We start from the raw sequence: 26,247 nt of genomic DNA, 5'->3' as shown, positions 1-26,247 counted from the left end.
CTTACATACATAAAGATTAACAGTGATATGATAAATCAACAAAAGGGAGGGTCTGTTCAATCAACTATAATTTAAATATTTAAGAAATAAAACTAGAACCTCACTGCATCTCTTATAGCAATTTTCAGATGGATCAACTGTTTAAATATTAGAAAAAATGAAATTGCAAAAAATAAATAGAAGTCAATATAGATGACTATTGAATTTTGAGATGAAGAAGGTCAGTTTCTCTAAACACAAAAGCATGGGGGGAAAAACATAAAAGAGGGATTCCATATAAGATCTGGAACTTCTCTATTTAAATGTGCATAAACAAATTTAGATAGCAGATGGAAAGTTTAGGAGAAATTTCCAACAAAACATATTAGGCAAAGGATTATTCTTATAGATAGCCTTTACAAACTGATGAAGGAGAAGTTGATTTTGGTGTATTGTGTGATTGACTATTTTGCAACTACTAACTGAAAGATTTTAATTATAAAGAAAATATGATATAATGGCTAATATTTTATACTTTGTGTGTGCCCAAGCACTACTCTGAGTGCTTTCATATGTTAACTTGTTTAAAATATGCAGTGACTTGGAAAGATCAGTACTATTATTATTGCCATCTAAGAGATGATAAAACCGATACAGAGATAGGCTTAGTAATTTGCCCAAAACTTTCCTAGTGTGGATTTGTGGTGACACAACTAAAAATGAGAGAGCCAGGATTTGACACCAGACAGGTCGCCTCCAGAGCTGGTGTTATCACACAATACTCTGCTTTTCTAAGTGAATAAAAAGAAAAGACTACAAAACTATGCATGATATAACTATTTTATAAATATGTGTTAATATTTGCGTATATTTTAAAGTTACACAATTTAATTCATGTGTAAACTTTTTATCTAATTACACAGTCATAGAAAAGACAGATGGCATTTTGACATTTTCCAACAGTGGTTACTTCCCTCTAGTGGGATTTTGGGTAAATGTTGTTTTGAACTTAAAATTTCTGTATTTTCCAAGTTATTAATATTATAATCATATAACCATTATATAATCACAAAATAGTGTTTTTAAAGTTACACATTTCAAAGTTGCTTTGCTGTCTTGAAGTGCATCGTTTATATTTTAGTACACTTTTGAAGTATCAGTCAGTGTTTGAGTTCCCATTCTCTGCTAGGTACCAAGCTAACTGGTGTCCCCTAGTTCTTTATCTTAAGCAAAAGCAATGTTGTACAATTTTAGAGCCAAAAGGAATCTTAGAAACTCTTCCGTTTCTCAGATGAGGGTCCTGAAGCTATTACAGATTTAACTGACTTACCCAAGATTCACTGACAGTAGGTTTTTAACCAGGCTTCGAATCCAGGTTTGAAGACTAAGGTCTTCTGACTTTAGATACTGTTCTCTATGAAGCACCAGAGCTCTCCAAGACCTCAATCAGGTGGGAACTGTAGCACAGTTGATTTTTTGTGACATTGTTTTGAAGTGGGGAAGTATAACTAGACTGGTTACAAATGTATTCTTTCACAGCAATTGAAAACATAATGGGAAGGTTCTCAGAGATACTGTTATGACACCTCTGGAGGTCAGTGAAAGATCCTCACCCAGATTTGGAAGATCCCTAAGTATTGCTGAGCCCCACTTGTAGAAGGCGATACAAAAGCTGGAGGGAACACAGCAGTGGAAAGAATATTAACCAGAAACAGTAGTTTCAATAGATGGCTTTTCTAAAACAGACAAACTTTCTCTTTTCAGCTCCAGGGCCCACAACGGCAGTGTCCTACATGTCGGTGAAATGTGTGGATGCCCGTAAGAACCATCACAAGACAAAATGGTTCGTGCCTTGGGGACCCAATCATTGTGACAAGATCCGAGACATTGAAGAGGCAATTCCAAGGGAAATTGAAGCCAATGACATCGTGTTTTCTGTTCACATTCCCCTCCCCCACATGGAGATGAGTCCTTGGTTCCAATTCATGCTGTTTATCCTGCAGCTGGACATTGCCTTCAAGCTAAACAACCAAATCAGTTAAGTGTACTCTCCTCTCATCCCTTTCTTCCCTTTGAGCATTGCCCTCTTTGGGTTCTTTTTGAGCCAATTCTAATAAAAGTAAAAATGGTAATAGTAATAGCAAACAATTATTGACTACTTCCCAGGCACTTTCTGTGTACTTTACCTGTATTAACCCATTTAATCTTCCCACCAGGTTCCTTGAGGTAGTCTTATTATTTCATTTTACAGATGGAACACTTGGGCACCAGTGAGGTTACTCATGATCTGAAGACTAGAGAGTGGAAAAGCTGAGATTTCTGACTCAGAAAACTGCCCTAACCACCAAGCTTCACCACCTCTCTAGTGTCACAGGGGAGTTCACCCCAATGGAGTGACTTGAGGGTTCCTGAAAGGTTTTTATTTTTTTTTAAATGTCTTTTTCCACTGGGCTTTGAGTAAAGCTATGGCCTTAGAAAAAGATGCCTACCAAAATGGAAATGCCAACCCATGAGCACCCATTTCCCCACCAAACCAGGTTTTTTTTTCGTTTTTTTTTTTTTTTTTTTTTTTTTTTTTTTTTTTTTTTTTTTTAGCTTATTTGCAGTTAAAAACTCTGAGGGCATGAGACATATAAACTTTTCATGGGGAGAAAATCACTGGGTGATTTCTGGGAGGCCAATACATGTATGGCATCTGGGGACAGTATCAGGAATCTTAGGCTGAGAAGTAAGAAAACTTTTTGTTTTTTCCTTTTTGACTGAGATGGGATCAAGGATGTGAGGGAAAGGGAAAAAGATGTGTTAAAGGCAGCTCTGTCTAGGGCCTGTCCATAGATTGAAACATTATTTCTTTTTCTTTTCTTTTCTTTTCTTTTTTTTTTGAAACAGAGTTTCGCTCTTGTTGCCCAGGCTGGAGTGCAGTGGCTCAATCTCGGCTTACTGCAATCTCCGCCTCCCGCGTTCAAGTGATTCTCCTGCCTCAGCCTCCCACGTAGCTGGGATTACAGGCACCCACCACCACGCCCAGCAAAATTTTTTTTTTTTTTTTTTGTATTTTTAGTGGAGATGGGGTTTTACCATGTTGGCCAGGCTGCTCTTGAACTCCTGATCTCAGGTGATCCACCCACCTTGGCCTCCCAAAGTGCTGGGATTACAGGTGTGAGCCACTGTGCCTGGCCTGAAAACTATTTCTTTCTTCTTCTGTTTTTTTTTTTTTTTTTTTAAGAGACAGAGTCTCCTATGTTCCCCAGGCTGATCTCGAATGCTGGCCCAGGCTGGAGTTCAGTAGCATAATCATAGCTCACTGCATCCTCGAACTCCTGGGTTCAAGCTATCCTCCCACCTCAGCCTCATGAATAGCTAGGACTACAGGCACGCTAATTTTGTAATTTTTTATTCTTTTTTTTTTGTGTGTGTGACAGGTTCTTTCTCTTTTGCCTGGGCTGGAGTGCAGTGGTGTCATCACAGCTCACTGCAGCCTCAACCTCCCAGGCTCAAGCGATCTTCCCACCTCAGCCTCTTGAGTAGCTGGCATGAGCCACTGCACCTGGCCTTAAATTTTAAAATTTTATGGGGGTCTCTCCTGAGCTCAAGCAATCTTCCCACTTTAGCCTCCCCAAATTTTTGGTTTACAGCTGTGAGCCACCATGCCTGATCTGAAGTACTATTTCTAAATATGATTTTCATGTATCTGTAATAATCTTGATGTACAATTATTTTTACTCTGTTTAGGAGTTGGAGCACTATGTATACCTGACTGATAGCTTACCTGAAATAAATAGATTGTGCTGAGATAATTTTCTAGATACAGTTTTCTTTTTCTCATTCATTCATTCTCTTGCCCATTATTTTAAACTGTTTTTGAGTGCCTACCACTGCTAGGCATTCTGCTGTTAGCTGAATATGCTGTCCTTTAAGGAACTTACGGCTAAGTGGAAATGACAGGCAAATAACTAATCATTACAGTGTGGTATGCTGGGTGCTGTGACCAAGTTATGCCCAGGAGGATATGGAAACTTAAAGAAAAGGCTTCACAGCAGAGAAAAGGAAGACTTCCCTGGTAGGGTGTGTGGGTGTGTGTTGGCGGGGAGAGTTGTAGAGAGGCAATCAGACAGCTCTTTGAGGTGAATGTTAAAGAGAGAAAAGCCTGGTGAGGAGGTGAGGATGAGCAAAAGAAAGAGCATTCTATATAGAAGGAAATGGCTTATATGAAGGTCCAAATTTGCACAACAGCCTCAAGCTTTTAAGTGGTGGTTCCCATGTCCCTAAACTCTTGCTTATTGACTCACTTGTTCACTCACTCACTCATTGGTTGTGCAACACATTTATTCATGAGTTCATTTAAACTTTATTAAGTCCCAGCCATACGAACACTCAGTACTGGGGATATAAGATCACACGAGACATGATTCTTGTAACGGGTTAGGGAAGAGGGTGCCTGGAAAACAGACACTTAAACCTACAAATAAGAAAAAACATGTTATGTGCTATAATAAGAATACACAATGTAATGTGAGGAGCCTTGGGAAGGAAAGAGTTTGCTATGAGATTCAAAACTGTATGTCTAAAAATTTTTTTTTGAAACCTGCAGGTTTGGGTTTTAGCATTTCTATTCCTAAGAATGCATTCAAGCAAAGGAGAATAAGGACAACAAGAAGAGCCATGGGAGGATGAGATAGGTAGATTACCTGATTTATGTATGTTTGGGTGGAAAGGTAAAGGACGTGGTATTCTGTTATTTGGGCTGGTTGTGGTTATTTCAGGTATAATCTCTCCTAGACAGATCCCTACTTCTAGCTCCAAGTATAAAGAAAAAGATTTACCCTGTAATAATAAATAATTACTGTCTACTGACTGTATTAATAATGCTGGGTAACAAATTACCCTAAAAGTTAGGAGCTTTCAACTATAAACATTTTTTTTTTTTTTTTTTGAGTCTGAGTTTCACCCTTGTTGCCCAGGCTGGAGTGCAATGGTACGATCTTGGCTCACCACAACCTCCACCTCCCGTGATCAAGAGATTCTCCTGCCTCAGCCTCCCGAGTAGCTGGGATTATAGGCATGTGCCACCACGCCTGGCTAATTTTTGTATTTTTAGTAGAGACGGGGTTTCTCCATGTTGGCCAGGATGGTCTAGAACTCCCGACCTCAGGTGATCCACTCACTTCGGCCTCCCAAAGTGCTGGGATTACAGGCGTGAGCCACCGTGCCTGGCCACCTATAAACATTTCTTAGCTCCTCATTTCTGTGGGTCAAGAATCTAGTTTGGGAGTCTCTGGCTCAAACTCTCTCAAGGTTGCAATTAAGCTGTTGGCCTGGTCTGCAGTCTCATCAGGCATGAGGGCTCCACCGGGGAAGGGGGATCTGCTTCCAAGCTCTCTCACATGGTTGTTGGCAGGCTTCCATCCCTCCCACATGGGTCTCTCCATAAGACTGCCTCGCAACATGGCAGCGGGCTTCCCCCAGGGATAGTGAGCCAAGAGAGAGCCTGAGCAGTGCTGGAGAGGGAAACCGCTGAATCTTGCAAACGACATTCCATCACTTCTGCTGTATTCTGTTGGTTAGAAGTGAACTAGTAAGTTCAACCCACACTCAAGGGAGGTGATTACAGAAGAGCATGAATGCCAGGAGATGGGGATCATTAAGGACCATCTTAGAGGCTGACTACCTGCTGGCATACTTTTCAATGGAGTCACAGTTTCATTTGAAATGTGATCCCTGATTTATATCTAGATTAGGGGGTAAGATAGAAAGTTTTTTAAGAGCATGGACTTAGGAGTCCTACAGCAATGGGTTTAAATCCTTGTGCCACTTTTTAAAAGCTCTGCAGTATTGGGGAAGTTACAGAACCGCTCTTAGCCAGTTTCCTCCCTTGTAAAATATGGATAATAATGCCTAATTAACCAACTCACTCTAAGGAATAAATTAGTTTATGTAAAACTTTTAGGACATAGTAAGTACTTATTTTTTATTTATTTTTTTTGAGACGGAGTCTCGCTCTGTCACCCAGGCTGGAGTACGGTGGCATGATCTTGGTTCACGGCAATCTCTGCCTCCTGGGTTCAAGAGATTCTCCTGCCTCAGCCTCCTGAGTAGCTGGGACTAAATTTTTGTATTTTTAGTAGAGACGGGGTTTCGCCATGTTGGCCAGACTGGTCTCGAACTCCTGACCTTAGGTGATCCACCCACCTCGGCCTCCCAAAGTGCTGGGATTACAGGTGTGAGCCACTGCACCCAGCCTGGACATAGTAAGTACTATTAAAACAGTTAAAAATTAAAAGTAGCTATTACAATTATCCAATTATATTTATCCTTATTGCTGAAATTCAGCCATTTTTCCAATTCTTACTTCTACACCTTGGTTAGTGAGATTAGTCTTTATAAAAGAAGCACGTGGTAGAGGTAAGTCTTCCTTATCCACAGGGGATATGTTCTAAGACCACCCAGTGCCTAAAATCACGGTACTGAACCCTATATACATACATGATGTGTCTTCCTATACATATATACATACTTAGAATAAAGTTTAAATTATAAATTAGGTGCAGTAAAAGATAACAACAATAATTAATAATGAAAGAAAAAATATACTGTTCACAATTTTAAGGACAGAAGATTCATTCTTATTGTAGATCTTAGCAACCTCAGCATAAGATTTTTTTTTCTTTTAAGTTGAGAACTTTCATCTTCTTAAAGGAAGCACTTGACTTATCTCTTTAGCACATCTGAAATGCCAGCATCCCTACTCTTGCACCTTGGGGCAATGAGAGAAAATAAGGATGACTTGCACACAAGTACTGTAATACATAGCAGTTGATCTAGTAACCTAGATGGCTGCTAAGTGACTAACAGGCAGGAGCAGGGAGATGCTGGACAGAGGGGTGATTCTTATCAGGGGACAGCACAAGATTTCATGATGCTACTCAGAACAGTGCACAATTTATAACTTAAGAATTATTTCTGGAATTTTTCATCTAATATTTTTACACTGTGATTGACCTCTGCTAACTGAAACCACTGAAGGTGAAACCTCTGATAAGGAGGAGACTCTTTTAGCTTTAATTTATCATTTCCTTGCTCAAAACATCTTCAGTGACTAACAAATAAGACTCGGTGTTCAGAGTCCTCTCGCTTCCTGGCTCAAGGCTTCTTTCTAGCCTCCTTCCTCACTGCTGGCCAGTAACCATTCTCTGCATCCTCAAAAGGAGTAGTTTCCTGCCCTGTAAACACATCCAGAGAGTTTCTCCCTTTGCGTCTTCGCTGATATTGATCCTGCCTGCCTCTTCCTCTCTTGTGATTCCTCTTCTCACAAATGAAGGGCTCCTCCCAGATAAACCTACTCATTCTTCACAACATCCCAAATTTTACATTCCCCTGGAGCCTTCCTAGGTATTTTCTATATTATCTCCCGTCCTCATTCCTTCCTGGATATAATCTGTCTTTCCTTACGCATTCTTCATTACTGGCCTTGTGATGTTTACTTTATCAGCCTTGTGTTCTGCACAGTGAAATTGTCTTCTCTGAGTCCTTACTAAACTATGAACTCCCAGTGGGCAGATTACGCAGTATATTTACATTTATGAAATCCACAGCTTTGTGTTTAGGGAGCTGTGGATGAAAATACTGGATTGTATCATTCTTCTGCCACTAAAAGGAACATAAAGCAACTGATTGAGGTGCTTCCTCCCCTCCCACACTTCAAAATAAGAGTTCTGTTGTTTAACATTTCAGTATATGTAAGTCTGGTCCCCACTGCTCCTATATTTTTTACACTGATGAAATTGTGGTTAAGAAGTTAAGAATTGACTATAGGAGTAGTATGTTGCTGCTTTCGAGCAGCCTGTTACATGACAGGCAGTTGTTTAGAGCATAGTCTGACACTTGGGCAGGTACTTGCCACAGGTTCCGTTTTCAGGTTGTGAGGAAAGTGCTGGATTATCTTGTGGTTCTACCTTTTACATCACTGAAGGTGACTGGCCTATAATTTGATTTCAAAACTTGGCATCAGAATCATTGAGTAACATAATGCAGAGCCTCAGGTAAGTTTAGGTGAAATTTTAAAAGTCAACGATAAATTTCTAAAATTATACCACCAAAATTGAAAAAAGGATAAATATGTTTAGTGAATGTTATTTATAACTGAACTTTTTAAAAGAAACTTTCCCAGTAATGTGAAATAACTCGAATACTTTTAGCTACTTTTTTTTTTGCCAGTTTCTAATGATGTTTTGTATTCATTATAAATGGATTGAATATTTTAGAATTCTCCAAACTCATTTGAAATGTATTGAAAGCTCCCTGTTTACATTTTTCAGCTTTAGCAGTGTGAATAAAATGATTTTAAGCTCAACTCTTGAGCATTTCTCCCAAACCAGAAACTAAGAAATAATTCTACATGTTAAATAATTTCACAGATGAATTACTTCCCAGCAAATACTAATCCTAAACAACAAAAATGCCCATGTTGGCAAAGCTTTAAAACATTTCTATATATAAATATTAATGTCTTATTTTTTTCTCATGTACATCTTCATGCTTTAAAATATTTTATCTTCATCTACAAAAATACTGTACTCAAGCTTTCTGACTTAAAAATAATCCTTAATTTTCTTATAACATGAGAACTAGCACTTAATAGGGGGCATACTAAAAAGTTAACAAGATGGACCACTAATTATTCATTTGATAAATGTATAAAATAACTTTCTTAATAGAGCTATCAAGAAAACCACACCAAAAAATACTTTTCATGAGTAGCAGCAACACATTTTGGCTGCTAATTTTTTTTTTTTTTTTTTTTTTGGAGATGGAGTCTTGCTCTGTCCCCCAGGCTGGAGTGCAGTGGCACGATCCCGGGTTCATGCCATTCTCCTGCCTCAGCCTCCCCTAGCAGCTGGGACTACAGGCGCCTGCCACCACGCCCGGCTAATTTTTTTGTATTTTTAGTAGAGATGAGGTTTCACCGTGTTAGCCAGGATGGTCTCGATCTCCTGACCTTGTGATCCGCCCGCCTCGGCCTCCCAAAATGCGGGGATTACAGGCGTGAGCTACCATGCCTGGCCAGCTGCTAACTATTATATGAGAAGTTACATGTTGTGTTTGTGGGAATATTCATTTCCTTAAATTTATCCTCTCTACCTTTGCTTATGGACACTGAGCAAGGCATTGATTATACAGATTATATATATTATGTTATATATATTCAGCAATATACATATACACACATGTTTTAGTATAACAGGCACATCAGGTCTAGATTTCTCTCTGATTTTGGTATTAAGAATGCATGAGACTCTCTACTTTTTATATTGTTTATCATTACTTTGGATTCCTTTCTGACAGCAATGAACAGGACTTCAGAGAAGAGTTTGGGAGTGTGGCAAACAAGATCCTATTACACATGATGGCTTCCTGCTTATCAGAGATTCACCTGTAACAATATTACTTCATATGTAAGGAAAAGTCAAGACCAATCCATTTTTTTTTTTTTAACTTTTCGTGGCAGTCTTTGAAATGAGTTTCAGATTTCAAACAATGAGAAGAGATTTCATGTTTGGGCTCTGAAATTAAAGCTTGGGTTTATAATATATATCTGGTTAGTGTTTTCATCTACTTTTGAAGAGTCTTTGAGTAGATAAAATAATCTAAGTACTACATATTTTAAATGACTTCTAGTCACTTGGGGTTAAATGTTTATTCCCTTTAAATTTTTCAATTTAAAAGTGATACAGGTTTTAGCTAGGATTTGAGTTTCCAAACCCTCAGAAAACTAGAAAAGCATTGACTTACACTATAGAAGCTGGCCATTGTTTTAATTTCTGAATTTAATCAAGCCAGTGCCTTTGGGAGAAAAATGATGGCATTATAAGGTACTTTATAGTAATAAATTTCCTGATACACAGCTTCTAAAATTCTTGGAATCTCCTGAGTGATAGGAATGCCTCTTTGCATGCTAATGAGTCAACTGATGGCTGGGGACTCCCAGATAGCTTCAGAATGGTCACCTGAAAGACCAAGGCATGATTAGAAGGGTGGGGAACTAATTTCAGCCCCACCCACCAACAGCCAGGAGGGAAGAGGCCTAAAGATTGAGTCACTCGCTTATGGCCAATAATGTAATCAGTCATGCCTAGGTAATGAAGCCTCCATAAAAACTCAAAAGGACTGGGTTCTGGGAGCTTCCAGACAGCTGAACTTGCAGAGGTTCCCGGAGCATGGCACCCTAGAGAGGACAGGGATGCTCTGTGCCTTATCATAGCCATCCTCAACTTTTTGGGCACCAGGGACCGGTTTCATGGAAGACACTTTTTCCACAGATGAGGGGATGGGGGATGGTTTGGGTATGAAATGGTTCCGCTTCAGATCATCAGGCATTAGATTCTCATAAGGAGCATGCAGCCTAGATCCCTTGCATGAATACTTCACAATAGGGTTCCCACTCCTATGAGAATATAATGCCAGCTGATCTGACAGGAGGCAGAACTCAGGCTATAATACTTGCTCACCCACCTCTTACCCCCTACTATATGGCTCAGTTCCTAACAGGCCACTGACTGGTACCTGTCTGCTGCCAGAGGGTCAGGGATCCCTGCCATACCACATGCCTTACCCTATCAATCTTTTATCTGGTTGTTCATGTGTATCCTTTGTCATATCCTTTATAACGTGCATAAGTTAAGTGTTTCCCTGAGTTCTGTGAGCCTCTGTAGCAAATCAATCAATCCTAAGGAGGAGGGTCATGGGAACGCGTATTTATAACAGGCCACAACCTGTTTTTTCGATGGGCATCTGAAGTGGGGAGCAGTCTTATGGGACTGAGCTTTCAACCTATGAGACTTGATGCTATTTCCAGGTAAGTGGTGTCAAAATTGAATTTTTGGACACCCAGCTGATGTCTGCTGTGGAAGTGATTGATTGCTTGCTTGGTGTGTGGAGAAACCTCCCCCGACTCTGTGCCCCGCTCCTTCCATCACACCTGGGTCAGAAGTAGTCTGTGTTATGTTGATTATGAGTGGAGTGGGAATCAAAAAGTGTTTTTTTTGTTTGCTTGTTTGTTTGTTTTTCCCCTCACTCGGAGTTCAACTTCTAAATGGTGGTAGTTTTAAAACAATAGTCTGTAAGAGCTGAGGAAAAGAGGCCAATTAAGAAAATCTAGAGACTCATAGATACTTGGGAACAGGAGTCATTGACCTTTCAGTGAATACCAATTACAAATATGAACAGACCTGTCTGTGGAAATCTATGATTGAGTCAGTGCTGGCTTTTTGCTAAATATTTCAGAGGTACAGAATTAATGAATTTGTCAGGATGTAAACATGATGCTTCTGTCTAGTTGTTAGGGATATGGGATTTCAATTTTTACTCTAAAGGAGTTAGGAAATGGAGTATGAATAGGCAGAGAAGAGTGTCAGAAAAAAGTCAGCCTTAACATTTAGAGTCTGGATGTATTATGAATCACTGATAAAAATGATTATTTACCTGATGGTATTAGACCTCTTGGTAAGGCCAAGTTCTGTTATTTGAAAATATATTCTAGAGTGTTTTTGTTTTGTTAACATGCCATTCTAAAATACTTTCCCAAATATACCATTTTTTAAAAAGTCACTCTATGCATTAGGAAAAGAAAGGTTTGGGTTGGCTAAAACGGTACCCACTGGAAATGGGTTGTCACTCTAATGATTACAACTGCAAGTCATACACTTAGTATACCCCAGACTCTCCAAGGGCTTCTTTTGAGAAACCTGGGTGCATAGATCAAAGTTAGAGAATTTGTTTACATATCTCTCTTTCCAGCTTTCAAATCTATAAGCTGTTGAAATAGAAGCACTAGAGCCATTGGCAGAAAGCCTCAAGATGGATAGCTGTGTCTTGAGTAGTAAATCTAGGAGTTTCAGGGGTTGAAAAATTCCTGAGACTGAAAAAATATTGGTAAATGATGAAGGGTAGGGGAAAGCCAGAATAATGTCAGTCCTATTCTTACGTAATGAAAGCATTATGTTTCGCCTTGATCCTTGTGCTGTACACTGGAACCCAGTGTTGTCTTACTTGTTTCATTATTGCAAATGGTCACATGAAGCAGAATTCTTTCTATAAGTGGCAAGTGATTTTTCTTTCCCCACACTGAAAGCATTTCTGTATAACAAATTTCTAGTTAAAGTAATTAGAATGATATTATTACCAGTCAGTTTTCAAGTTAGATGGCTGAGTGTCCTGGGAGAATGTTGACTGACTTTTGGCAGAGTAATTGTGCTTTTCCATTTGTCCATTTATTATGGAATGTTAAGTGGACATCAAGGGAAGACAACTGGAATAAAGGGAACAATCTATTGATCATAAACAATTCTCTGAATTTCATCCTTCTACAAATTCACCCCTCACATTATCTACAATGGTGATGGGTGAATTTGTAGAAGGATGAAAGTCAAAGAATCCTTCTGGGAACTAATTTTTGGCCTTCAACAAGAATTGTGATATTTAATTCTGTGTTTTCTGATGCTTCTGAGGAAAGCTCCATAAAGAGAGCTGAATGGGGCAGAGGATTTTATACACTATAAGAACTATCCCTGCTATGATGGAACAGGCCATTGGTAGTATGATATTCACATAATTGTATTTCTGTGCTTCAGCAGATAGTCCTTATTAATAAAATATGTTGAAGCAACTGCTAAGAAGAAATGTATAACTCTACTCTCCCACCCCTACTACTACTCCCACCAAAAAGAGGTCTTCTTTCATTTACGACCATGTCTTCTTTAATTTATGACTATGTTATAGCCTGTGTTAAAACTATCTAACATTTTGGCTGGGCACAGTGGTTCACACCTGTAATCCCAGCACATTGGGAGGCTGAGGTGGGTGGATCACCTGAGGTCAGGAGTTCAAGACCAGCCTGACCAATATGGTGAAACCCTGTCTATACAAAAATTAGCCCAGCATGGTGGCGTGTGCCTGTAATCCCAGCTACTTGGGAGGCTGAGGCAGGAGAATCACTTGAACCTGGGAGGTGGAGGTTGCAGCAAGCCGAGATCGCACCACTGCACTCCAGCCTGGGCAACAGAGCAACTCTGTCTCAAACAAAAAAAACCTCTAACATTCTAATTAGATAGTTTTCATTGTTGGCTAGTGTCACTAGAATTTTAAAGTTACCTTTTAAGTTTCTTTACCACAATTTGAGTCAATGCAAGCAGAAATAAAAACTTCAAATTCTCCCTTTGTTCTCCTCCTCCCTCCTCTCCCACCAAAAAAGGCAAGTTGAAAAGCTCAAAATACATCAAAAAGATCTCAGAGACTTAAATGGAGTAGGGTTTGTAGTGTTAGGTAAATGGTACGGAAGTTGTCAGTATTCAAGATGGGCTTACATGGCCAGTCTTCTTTACTCTTATTGAATTGTGTGCCCCTTCAAACCAAGGCTGGAACCTGGAAGTTACCAGTATGAATCAGTTTTACTTACTGACTTGGTATAGAAAGCAACTGAAATCATGGGAGAAAACTATATTTTGTTTACCCCAGGATAGAGAAGATTAGGGACATGATGTTTGTTTGCTCATGAATTATCTCTCCCTTTGAGGAAATCTTCAGGCACTTCTTGACAGCTCTTCCTTTGGAATTGACCGTTGTGAGCATGTTATATTGGCAGGAGCATGGGAACCTTTGGCTTTGAGTGTGATTATTGTTAAGCACATTACTTGGACAACATCATTATAAGGCTCCTCCATAGGCATCGCTATAGAGCTCTATCTGGCTTGGTGGGTTTTGTTAAGTATTTGCAAATGAAAAATTCCAATTCAGAAACAGTAGGGCTCCTCCAAAACCTTTCCAAGATTTTAAAATTAGTATCTATAGTTTGGTATATCTAGTTACATACACTTTCTTCTAGTCATCTATTGGTTACTGGTCAATTTAACATTGTTGAGTAGATTGTGTTAGATTAGTCTCTAGTCTTAACAAAACACTCTTCTATGGTGTTGAATAATTTGCAGAAATTGTTACTAAACATCAGCTGTTTTATTTTAGCTTGGAGTGCTGAAAGGAATACTAGAGGGCTGCTGGTCTAACAATCATCAACCAAGCAGTTTAGACTGGAGTGTAAGGGCTAAGAGAACCCCTTGATACTCTACATAAAATTTCAGTGGTATTTGCTTATATGCATTTTTGAAGTAAGAGTGTTTGTGGTTCTTGTCAGGTTTGCAAATGGGTGGTTGACCCAAGTTAAAGCACTAATCCTTTAATTTAGCAGCTGGAGAAAGCTTGAACTCTGTGGTACTCGCCCACGGTGGCACAGCTGGCTGGAGCCAGGGCAGGATCTCCTCGTTGTACATCAGTGGTGTAGATAGGTAGATGGTACCTAACAACACGTGCACCACCCCATACAGGTGAGTCAGCCTTCTACCAAACAGCGGACTCTAAGATCCTTGCACAGAAGATGCACTGGTCTTTCTAAAATGATATATTTTCAATTTTTTAAAATCTCCCAATCAGTATTTCAGGGAATGAAGTGCAGTCTAGAATCTAGACTAGGTGGTAGGCTGGCCCTGTTTATAGTGCCACAGCTGCAGATCACCCACGTGTCTCATTTCCTGCTCTGAGTTTAGAATATAAATGAGGATATTCTCTTTGCATCCATACAAGTATATCCTGATTACTAAAATAAAAACCTGGTGACATCATTGACTAATGTGAAGAGCAGAGAAGCCAGAAGCAGCACATCCCTTAATGGTGCCCCCAATGTATAGAAGGTATTTTTTTGTTTTCACCTCCTCTTCTAACTTTGGGTCTTTCAGTATTTAAATGCCAGCTGGTCATAACATAGCTATTATGAGGTTCTTTTATGGGGAATTCACAACTTTATCTTGGTTAACTTAAAAAAATGAAGTTAAGATTATTTTCTGGATTATATTTTTCTAAGCAAAAGGAAGTTAAATGAGAGCAAGGCAGAATTCTGCTTGCAAAAGTGCTAGGGACTCTACATTGGAAAAAACCATTTTCCCCAACCCTACCTATTGTCTACACACTGATGCTAGAAACAGTTCCAGATCCTCTTTTGCTTTAGTGAGTCATTAGTAATGGTGTTAGTAGAGAGATAGTAGTAATTCTTTATAGGAAGAAGAGGTTCTGGCTTTGTTCTGGTCCAGGTTGTTTGCTAAAATAATTGCATAGTGAATCTATCTCTCTTGTGTTGGGGTGATCAGACCCAACACCAGGTTGTGGGGGTGACAAAGTCCAGCAGAGTCAAAGGATTGAGAAAAAGACAGTTTGAGAGAGAAAGTTGGGACACCAGGGGGCCATCACTAGTGTACAGAGGCTGTGAAGGCCCTGAGCTCTGGGAGCCCATGCTATTTATTGGTAATCCAACAAAGAAACAGGTGGTGAAAATGTGGAGGTCAAAAGAGCAGGCACATGATCTACAGCTGTGATGGTTTAGCATTTATATGGAACATGTTCTGCTACTTGAGATAATGGGAATAGGAGCCTAGGAGCCTATGAGGGCTAGAAGTAAGGAACCAGCAAGTCTAGACACATTCCCAAAGACATTATGCAAGCCCTGCCTCAGTTTCCCTCCCAACACTCAGCTTTTCCTCAACATCTTGCTTTGCCCATTATTCATATTTTGACTAGAAAGAAAAGCCCAGGCTTGACCTAACAAGCAAGATTATGCCTTCATTAAAGTTAAGGCTTGGGAGAAGATTACAAATATTTCAGTTTAGTATCTTAAGTTGCTGTCACATGGAAAAGAGTTCTAATAGCTGAAGTTGTTTGCTGATGAAAAGGTTGCCTCTACCAGTAGTGAGCAGCCTGTTACTGGTAGTGGTCAAGCAGAAGATGGTTGGTGAGGATCATAAGGATGGCCACAGTGATAGCTGGCATGGGGCAGTGCTTTCTTTGCAAAGTACCATCGCACTAGAGATGCTGTTGCTTGTCTTTGTTGTCAGTCATTTGCTTGGCCTGAACTTGGCCTTAACTTCCCCCTCCCTCAGCATGTTCCACCACCTCTACTGAATGGGCAACTGGCCATATGATCAGTCCCCAAGCCATAACTGATCAGACTAGCAGTGGTCCCTTGGCCAAAGGGGAAGCAATCAAATTCTCTCTTATAAGAAATTGTGTTTCAGTAATTCGAGATCTACCTTTATTAGCACTTAAACTGAAAAGCCATGAGAGCCACCTGGGCAGTCATCATTCTACACGTGCACAGAGAAGCCGTGATTGTTGACTGGCAGAGTGGGAAGACCAGATGCAAAGAGGAAATGGAGATGAAGACTATTAGTGTAATTACAATAGACTATAAGAGTTGACTTTCCTCCTGACAGCTTTCTATTCCTGGTTTCAGACCCTCCAGCTTCTCAGCATTTTCTGCCCTTGATTTTCCTAAAGCACTCCTGTATCCCTCCAGCTGATTTCTGGTTAAGTTAGTGGGGGTGAAGTCCTGTTACTTGCAAACAAATGTTCGCTAATTAAGACAACGTTTATTTCATCTGATCATCGGAACAATTATATCTGGCAGAGTGAGGACACTGAGGATGACAGAGTTTACATGATTTGCCAGTCTCCCAGCTGGGAAGTCGAGAGGCTATGAGTGTACATGATGTTAGGACTCCAGTGCCTTGATCCCACCATGAGTCTATTGACAGGGCTATGGAGTGCTTCCTGTTCTGAGTGGGAAATTATACTAGACGACCCCTAAGGTCCCATCTACTCTAACTCTCTGAAGTTGAGAGTCCATGACTCACTTAAGATTCTCTGACTTTATAAAAAATCTCATTGGTATCCTTTGGTTTTGTAAATAGATGACTTCAGAGACCCTCAAGTGAAAACCATTCTAGAAGATAGTGCTCAGTCAAGACAGATGCTCTTGTTAGAGGGTGAGCTTAGTGTTGAAATGAGTGAATTTTCTTTTCTTTTGTTACATGCGACCTTGTGTTCATTTCTACTCCTTAGGTAGGCAGACAGGGTTGGTGTACTGGAAGTGTATTTTTAGTCTGACATTAAAAAATGTATCATAGACACCAACACAGGAAGCAGTTTTTAGGTGAGTCAGTGTATAAATAACCTCAAAGAGTTTCATGATGGGATGGTAGATCTTTCAGTTTAGCAGTTCAGTATCTGAAAACCCTTTCCCAATTTCATTCATTCATTCGATAGGCATTATTGGGACTTGTACTACATGCTAGCATTTTGCTCAGGATTTAAGAAATAAAGATAAGTCCTTATTCTTCATAATACAATTTCAGAAACCATCATAACCCTCTTTTGTTTAGTTTTCTCTTTTCTTTTCTTTTTTTTTTTTTTGAAATGTAGTCTCGATCTGTTGCTTAGGCTGGAGTGCAGTGGCGTGATCTTGGCTCACCGCAACCTCCCCCTCCTGGGTTCAAGTGATTCTCCCGTCTCAGCCTCCTGAGTAGCTGGGATTACAGGCGTGTGCCACCATGCCCAGCTAATTTTGTATTTTTAGTATAGACGGGGTTTCACAATGTTAGTCAGGCTGGTCTCAAACTCCTGACCTTGTGATCTGCCCACCTCGGCTTCCCAAAGTCCCAAAGTGCTGGGATTACAGGCGTAAGCCACCACTCCTGGCCTAAGAGTGAATTATTTAAAGGCAGGGACACTGTGTTGTTCATTGTTATATCCTTAGCACAATTCCAGGCACAGTAAATATTCCATGTGTACTCAAAATAATTAGGAGCTCACAGTCTAATTCATGGAGAGAGAATTAAAAAATTACACCAGTGTGTTCAGTGCATTAAGTACCCAAAGGAGTCCATAAACATAGAAGGGGAAATGATTAACTCACGGAAAAGGAAATGTTTTGATTGAGTCAAAGGTGGAGTTTTAAAGGCGTTGGAATCTGTGATCACTTACAATGTGAAGGCAAAGAAACAGTCCAAGGGCAGTCTTATTTTTTTCTGGAAAGTGAAAGAGCTTGGAGAGACAACTCCAGCACTGGGTTAAGTACTTTCAAGCCAGAGTGTTTGGGCTGAATCATAAATTATGAATGTTTGGCCTGCTGCTTATAAATTATGAGACCCTTGGCAAGGAAGTTTTTGAAACTTCCTTGTACTTCATTTTCCTCACTTATAAAATAGAATAGTAGTACTACCTTTATAGGGTTGTTGTAAGGATTAAACTAGAATAGTGTATGTGAGGCTTTTACATAGTAAGTGCTGGATACATATAGTAAATGCTCAATATAAGTGAATAGTTGGCTGGGCGCAGTGGCTCACACCTGTAATCCCAGCACTTTGGGAGGCCCAGGAGGGCAGATCTCTTGATCCCAGGAGTTCGAGACCAGCCTGAGCAACATGGTGAAACCCTGTCTCTACAAAAAATACAAAAATTATCAGGATGTGGTGGTGTGCCCCTGTAGTCCCAGCTGCTTGGGAGGCTGAGGTAGGAGGACTGCTTGGGCCCAGAAGGTTGCGCCACTGCCCTCCTGCCTGGTTGAGATTCTGTCTCTAAATAAATAAATAAGAGTGAGTAGTTATTATTCTCGGACTTGAATAGAAAGGAGGAATTGTGTTCCAGAGAGAGCATAGAAGCCCAGAAACATAGGTGGCAGGGCTGAGTGTTCAGAAAAAGGACCCCGTCCATGGATGTTAGCCACAGGCCTTTCATTACTTCCGGACAGTGGTTATTAACTTCAGGTCAAGGACTTTAACCTTGGGAGACAAATATGCATAGACCCCATTTGCACATTTAGTATTCATATTTCAATGGAAGCCCTGAAGCTCACCCATGGAATTCAGAGGTTTATGAATCCCGATGAGGGTATGCCCCATGAGTACCAAAATGCATGCTGATCAGCACTGAAGCAATTGGATAAAGTCCTAAAATAGAAGATGTGGAAAATTCTTAGCATCCTTAGGAGAATGTGCCCACAGGCATGATTTAATTATATTTGACTATAAACATAGCAGCATGTAAATTAAAATATTTTGAAATGGAAGAATATTAAGATGGGAGCAGAGGTGTATGGGAGACAACCTCTTGGAGTGGAAGAGTGGTAAGAAAAGATCAGGACAAGAGTTAGCAATGGGAACATTCTTTTGGATGAAGGTAACTCAGCAAAGGCATTAGGTATAGAGAAGGAAACGTTGATTATGCATCTCCTCTGCAGGCTCAATGCTAGATGTTCAAGGTTAAATCTCTACTGTCCTCTGTGAGGCTGTTACTGGAGAAAAAGTTTTAAATTTAAACAAGTATGAAATTATGGAAGTTAAGTGACTTCTTCAAAGTGATTTCTAGGTGAGAAAGTGAGGACTAAGACCATATTTTTCTATCATGAAATGCTCTGAAATAACATATGTGCAAAGGACGGTAAGCCCATTTGTTGGGCTGTAGAAAAGTGTCCATATTAGAGAAAAAAGATGAGCTGCTGAAAGACAGAGGGCCTGGTAGGTGAGTTGCCTTGATGACCAGCTAAGAAATTTGGAGTTTGTTTCTTAAGAAAAGGAATTGAACATCACATCTCTAGTGCTGAAATAAAATGTGGAATTCAGGATTTGAGACTCGTAGCTTGTCCTTTGAATTATACAGCAGCTGAAAATCGTGTTTCTTTTTTTCCCATCTGGACTTCTCACTTGGTGGTTTTCCCAACGGGAGGGCATCTGTGAACCTTTTAATGGGAGAAGTCATCAAGCTGGGTTAGGGCTGTGCTCCCAGGGCTGGCTTCGGAGGCAGGTAAAATCTGACTCCCTTTTGCTTTTCAGCTACAGACACAGCCATTGCTGCCACCACCAGCTGGGTGACTCGGAATCTAGGGGTTGCCAGTAATTGTGGGTTTAAGTCACAGAGGAAAAAGATAAGAGGAGAGCCAGGCTGGTTTTTCCACAATTAAATGTTGCCTCTCAGGCTTCTCTGTTGGCAGGAATCCAAGAGGTCAGGAACCACCAGCCATATTATTTTTGTCCCTGGCTGCCTGCTCTCATTTGTATCCCCTCCTCATTCATGGGAACGAAGAAAAGGTGGGTTGGAAATAAAAAAGCTTGTTCTAGCCTACTTTTTCCTTTACGAAACTTGTCAGAAACAAAGCTTTCCTGTGAAACAGACGGGATCCCTTCTAGTAGCTGGCTTTTCCTGCAAGCGTTTTCTGTCTCTTCTTTTCTTTCTGCTGGCAGCACAAATGTATTTTCCGGGTTAGGGGTGTTACCATTGTTGAAATCTACTTTTCTCCTTGTATAGTCATGCTGGTATGCGGTGTTATTTCTCAAGCACTGCCCTGTAGTCTGGTTCTCTGGTATTTTTGTATTTGTTAATTGTTTAACTCTTCCATTAGTCAAACTCAACTTGTTATCCTTTGTCACTCAAACTCCATTATAAGTGCCCTGAGGACAGGCATGGTTTTATAGCTCTTTGTTTTGGCCTCAGTGCCTTAAGTATAGAAGGCAGTCAACAGCTGGAGGTGTTTTAGATTTCTACATTCATGAAATATTAGAACTAGAAAGGATCTTAGTAAGCCTATGATCCAACTGTAGTATTTCATGAAATAATACATTATGTAAAGTGACTTACTCAAATTGTTTGGCTAAATAGTGGCCTTTTTAGAGCAAGAAGCGGGTGTCCTAACTTTCCTACCCCATGACTGAGAGACATAAGGGGAAAGTACTTGAGCTGCTGAGTCAGGCAAACCTGGGTTCTCATTTTGCCTCCCTCTCACATTGGTAGCATGGCCATGGGCCTCAGTTTCCTCACTTTGAAATTGCCTGTGATGGTTTCCATCTGGCTGGCATCTGCATGGGTGAAAATGTCTACACATAGTAGGCAGTAAAAAATGTGAGCTCTTAGGAATCATTGTTTTATTTCTTTTAAAAATACTTCATTTATAAGAAAACATATTTCTGAGATCTTTTCAGCATCAGAAAATGGTGCCCGATTGCTCTTGGTGAGAACAACTTTGGAGGGAGAACAGGCCAGTAGGCCTCTTTGATGGAGATTCAGCCTAGAATGAGCTAGAAATAGAAATTAGTCCCACCTACAGGACATAAAGCTCATGGATGTAATGCCTTTTCCTTTTCCCAGTTGTCCCTCCATATAAGGGAGTTTGGGTTGATTAACTCAGCAGTTAGTAACACAGCCCTTATCTTACTCACACTCAGAAGAGGATGTGGAGTAGTGGAGGAGGTCACCAGGCCAACAGGCCCAACTTGCTTCCTACATGATAGGAACATCAATGGTCATAAACCATTTGATGAGATAGGAGAAGCCAAGGGCTGAGGGAGGAGATGGCATTCGGGGCAGGTGTGTGGAGTGATGCATGTAGAGACCAACGCAACAGTGCTAGCGTGACCCGAAAGGAAAGAGCAATGATTTTAAGGGAAAGGCTGAGGGTGATGGCTGGAGAAGAAGAGCAGAAAGGGAGTCCAGCTTAACACTCTTGTGTTGTGGGTGGCTTTTATTGAGGGAGGAGCAGCAGAGTTCTTCCGCAGCTCCACCAAGGGTCATGGTTTTCCATTATGCTTCCCATTCTCTCACACACACATATGCTTCATCCACCTTCTTTATAGTATTATGAATCTGTCCATTATCTGGAACCCCGGGTGGCAGTAGAATATTGTCCCACTGTCTCCTGGAGCCCAACTCGAGGAATGTCCTGGCTGATTGATCAAGGGAAGGACCTTATCTTTAAATAGAACCCCAAAGCTGAGTGCAATAATTCCCCACATAAGCCGTATGAAACAAATACTTCGTGTGAATAACACTGGCCTGACTCCAGCAATAACACAGCTGTTGAAACAGCTTAGTCACCAGGGCGATGGAGGTATGCAGTGAGGGAATGTTGGGGTGCCGTGATCTGACATTTAGCTGGCTGGCAGCAGCGCTGAGAGCCAACATGGAGCTGCGGGAGAGCTGCAGAGAGAATCTGCTACCCGTCCACAGGCATTATTCCCTTGTTTCTTTTGAAGCCCAACCGTAATCCCTTCCCTGGGCAAGGCAGACTGAGGAGGAAAACAGAAAACATTTTAGGACTGAAGGGAGGGAAAGAAATGGTTTGCTTCTTTTAGACACCTGGTTTCTGCCCCTTAATGATGCATGTTTATTTCCTGGATAACTTTTTTTTAAATGCCCCAGGCTAGGCAGAGTATAATTTAGATATGGCAAAGGGGGAAAAAACTCATTTATTTATCTTGCCTAGAAAAACGTCATGACTCTTCTTAGCTTACTTGTGTCCAGGGGATGTATGAAGAAGTCAGCAGGGAAAGTCCTGGCCCTGCTGCCTAATATTGCCTGAATCTCTGTAGCGGTTCATCTGCCAGAGCTCTTGTCTGAAGGACTCTGGGTAGATCTGGGCAAAATACTTAGCTGGTTTCGTCAGGATTTTGGGAGGACTAATAAACTGCCATGGAGCGACCCCATCCCTCTGCCAGCTCTTTGAAGAACTGACCTGTGTGTTTTTTCTTTATCCTGGACTCCCTCTGCACTGTTTGTTTTGGAAGTTGTTAAGTTAAATTAGCCATCCCTTTCCTTTCCTGGTTACTGTATGACAATGCAGCTGTCAGTCTGTGAACTCTGCCATCATCTATTTTTAGACACAGTGTGAATGAAGCTGTCTTCTCTAATTGCATTCAGAGAGAGAGAGAGAGAGAGAGGGGCACGCAGGTAGATTTTCACAACGATCAAATCAGCTATTCTAAATGCTCTGTGTACTGACAGTGTCCTGGAGAGAAAGCAAAGAAACCCACTGTGTGTTTTCCTCACTTGCTTTCAGGTTTGTTTTCTTTCCACATTGATGTTGATTATGGTCAAATAGGAAAGTGCTGTTGCCACATTTGCTTTCCAGTGTTTTAACACTTGCTAACTTAGATGGTTCTGAGTTCTCTAGCTTTGTTAGCGAAAGATTGGTTCATCATTGGGTTCAGATTCTTTGGTAAACAAATTCCTTAGAAAATATCCTCCTGGCAGTATTTTCCACAAGGTTAAATCGTCTTAAGCACACTGAGAACTGTGTTAGCAGTGGGCCTCAGTTTCCTTAGGATGTCTCTTTGTCTACCTGGCCCCCCATCCCAGTCCGTCTTCCGCACAGCTGCCAGAATCTCCTCCTTTGCTTTAACATCCTCTAAGCAAAATGCTGCAGCACTCAGGGCAAGCTTCTTCCCTTTGTCATTAGACCCTTCCTGTTCTCTAGCCTTCCCTGTTCCCTCCAGTCCCTCTCACATTCCCTGCCATATTGAATTAGTTGCTTTCCCTGCTATTTTGTGCTTATGTGACTTTTTATACATGGGGCTTCCTCTGCCTGTAATGCCTTTTCCTATCTCGCTGCCTAGTGAACTCCTATTCTGCAATTCATTGGTAAATATCACCTCTTCTCAGTAGGGTGAGCCAGAAGATTGTGTCTTCTGTGCTACAATTCTTGACCTTCTACTCAGAACTCTTGATCTTTTTGTGCTGACTGTATACTTCATATATACTTCTAATGCAGTACAAACTACATGGAATTATACTTATTTATATACCTGCCTTCACCACTTTACTGTAAACAATTTGAGGGCAATGACTTTGCCTTATATGCCTTTTTATCCCTACTCTTTTTTTTATAGAAGAAGTTTAATTGTTTCACTCTTTATAGACATATATAAACATACATTTTTATGTTTATATACATGTATATAGTTCCAAATCCTATTTCTATATAAGATTTGTATTTATTTATATACAGCATTTGGAACTTCTCTGAGTATTTTTTTTTTTTAATTATACTTTAAGTTCTGGGATACATGTGCAGAATGTGCAGGTTTGTTACATAGGTATACATGTGCCATGGTGGTTTGCTGTACCCATCAACCCGTCATCTACATTAGGTATTTCTCCTAATACTATCCCTCCCCCATCCCCCCACCCCTCAACAGGCCCAGGTGTGATGTTCCCCTCCCTGTGTCCATGTGTTCTCATTGTTCAACTCCCACTTATGAGTGAGAACATGTGGTGTTTGGTTTTCTGTTCCTGTGTTAGTTTGCTGAGAATGATGGTTTCCAGCTTCATCCATGTCCCTACAAAGGACATGAACTCATCCTTTGTTATGGCTGCATAGTATTCCATGGTGTATATGTGGCACATTTTCTTTATCCAGTCTATCATTGCTGGGCATTTGAGTTGGTTCCAAGTCTTTGCTATTGTGAATAGTGCCACAATAAACATACGTGTGCATGTGTCTTTATAGTAGAATGATTTATAATCCTTTGGGTATATACCCAGTAATGGGATTACTAGTTCAAATGGTATTTCTGGTTCTAGATCCTTGAGGAATCGCCACACTGTCTTCCACAATGGTTGAACTAATTTACACTCTTACCAACAGTGTAAAAGTGTTCCTATTTCTCCACATCCTCTCCAGCATCTGTTGTCTCCTGACTTTTCAATGATCGCCATTCTAACTGGCATGAGATGGTATCTCATTGTGGTTTTGATTTGCATTTCTCTGATGACCAGTGATGATGAGCTTTTTTTCACGTTTGTTGGCTGCATTAGAATCTTCTTTTGCGAAGTGGCTGTTCATATCCTTCACCCACTTTTTGATGGGGTTTTTTGTTTTTTTTTCTTGTAAATTTAAATTCCTTGTAGATTCTGGATATTAGCCCTTTGCCAGATGGATAGACTGCAAAAATTTTCTCCCATTCTGTAGTTGCCTATTTACTCTGATGATAGTTTCTTTTGCTGTGCAGAAGCTGTTTAGTTTAATTAGATCCCATTTGTCAATTTTGGCTTTTGTTGCCATTGCTTTTGGTGTTTTAGTCATGAAGTCTTTGCCCATGCCTATGTCCTGAATGGTATTGCCTAGGTTGTCTTCTAGGGTTTTTATGGTTTTAGGCTTTACATCCAATCTTGTGCGAGGACACCAGTAGGTGCTCAAAAATATTTGGTGGAAACAAAAATAGAGTTGGATGGTCCATCTAGCACAGGGATTTCAGGGGTGTGTGTGCAGGGGTTTGGGGGGAGTAGAAGTAAAAAGGCAGGTGATGGAGAAAGAAAGTATGAATGTCACCAAAATATAGAGCAAACCACTTGTTTGATGGTAGAGTGACAGGAAATTTAGGTTTGTAAGAGTTATTTGGAGAAAGAAGGATGATAATCATTAATTTGGTAAATATTCAATGAATATCTATTGTGCAAAGACATGAGTGATATAACTGTGAACAAGACTGAGTCAGTCCCTGGCTTTTAGGAACCCAGCCTAAATAGGAGATGGGTAGGGAGAGAGATGGGGATAAGTAGTCAGGAGAAGCAACATGGAGAATAAGTGTCATAAGTGTCATATTGCTGGGTGAACAAGGTACTGTGGGAGCAAGGGGGGGGTGCCATATTGAGTTTGGGTGAGTAAAAGAAGGCAAGAGTAAATCTGGGGGGAATTCCAGAAGATGAGTAGGAGTCTGGCACGAGCGGGGATGCCAAGCACTGTCTGCAGCCCAGATAAAGAAGCCTTTTGTAATTTACCCTCTCAAAGGAGGCATCTCTTCATAAAATTTGGTGTGATTATGGGGACCCTGAGTACAGCAGGTGTAGATAACCTTGAGTACTAGCCTTGAAATAGCAGCCAGCGGCCGAGCGCGGTGGCTCACACCTGTAATCCCAACACTTTGGGAGTCCGAGGCGGGTGGATCACCTGAGGTTGGGAGTTCAAGACCAGCCTGACCAACATGGAGAAACCCCGTCTCTACTAAAAATACAAAAAAATTAGCCAGGCATGGTGGCCCATGCATGTAATCCCAGTTACTCAGGAGGCTGAGGCAGGAGAATCGCTTGAACCCAGGAGGCGAAGGTTGCAGTGAGCGGAGATCGTGCCATTGCACTCCAGCCTGGGCAAGAAGAGCGAAACTCCATCTCAAAAAAAAAAAAAAAAAAAAAAGAAATAGTAGCCAGCATTGACTGAGTGCTTACTATATGCCAGGCCTGTGCTGAGTGCTTGGCACCCATTATCTCATTTACTCCTCACAGTGATAGGAGAAGGGCATTACCATTACCATTATCCTCATCTTACAGATAGAGACATTTAGTGACTCCCAACATTGCATAGGCACCAAGTAGCTAAGGTGGGCTGTGGTCCCAGCCTGTCTGTCTCCAAAGCTGAGCTCTTACTCATCTTCCAAGGCTGGAGAGGAGAGGGGCTGTATTTGAAGTGGCCAACCTAGGTAGAAGGGGTAGTGAACGTTCATAGAACTAGAACCTAGGCTGCTACATAACACCTTAGCCAATTATGCCATTTAAGGAGTCTTAATATCACACTGAAGACAATATAAAGGCATTGAAAGTGTTTTAGAAATCATTTCTGTAGCAGGAAGTGTG

General features: G+C 40.7%; 1 protein-coding gene, 1 long non-coding RNA gene and 1 other non-coding gene across 6 annotated transcripts in view; 2 read left to right on the top strand and 1 right to left on the bottom strand.

Moving 5' to 3' along the window:
• Positions 1 to 26,247, bottom strand: part of GNG12-AS1 (GNG12, DIRAS3 and WLS antisense RNA 1) — a 370,700-nt gene that overhangs the window by 7,017 nt on the left and 337,436 nt on the right. The window lies entirely within an intron of this gene.
• WLS (Wnt ligand secretion mediator) overlaps positions 1 to 26,247 on the top strand; it is a 134,088-nt gene that overhangs the window by 36,576 nt on the left and 71,265 nt on the right. For 2 of the 4 annotated variants that reach the window (XM_011542191.3, NM_024911.7), the window contains exon 2: positions 1,744 to 2,016. The exons of 1 other annotated variant lie outside the window; for it this stretch is intronic. In XM_011542191.3, coding sequence (XP_011540493.1) covers positions 1,744 to 2,016 — 273 coding nt within the window. The remainder of the gene's footprint in view (positions 1 to 1,743; positions 2,017 to 26,247) is intronic. One more of the 4 variants, NM_001002292.4, reaches the window with a different exon arrangement.
• Positions 12,361 to 12,453, top strand: MIR1262 (microRNA 1262). Its single transcript, NR_031664.1, has one exon. It is a non-coding gene; the product is annotated as a microRNA 1262 (primary transcript).

Source organism: Homo sapiens, chromosome 1 (genome assembly GCF_000001405.40).
Source record: "Homo sapiens chromosome 1, GRCh38.p14 Primary Assembly".
NCBI classification, from domain to species: domain Eukaryota; kingdom Metazoa; phylum Chordata; class Mammalia; order Primates; family Hominidae; genus Homo; species Homo sapiens.
The sequence above is the reverse complement of the archived record's forward strand: the minus strand, read 5'-3'. Positions and strand labels throughout refer to the sequence as shown.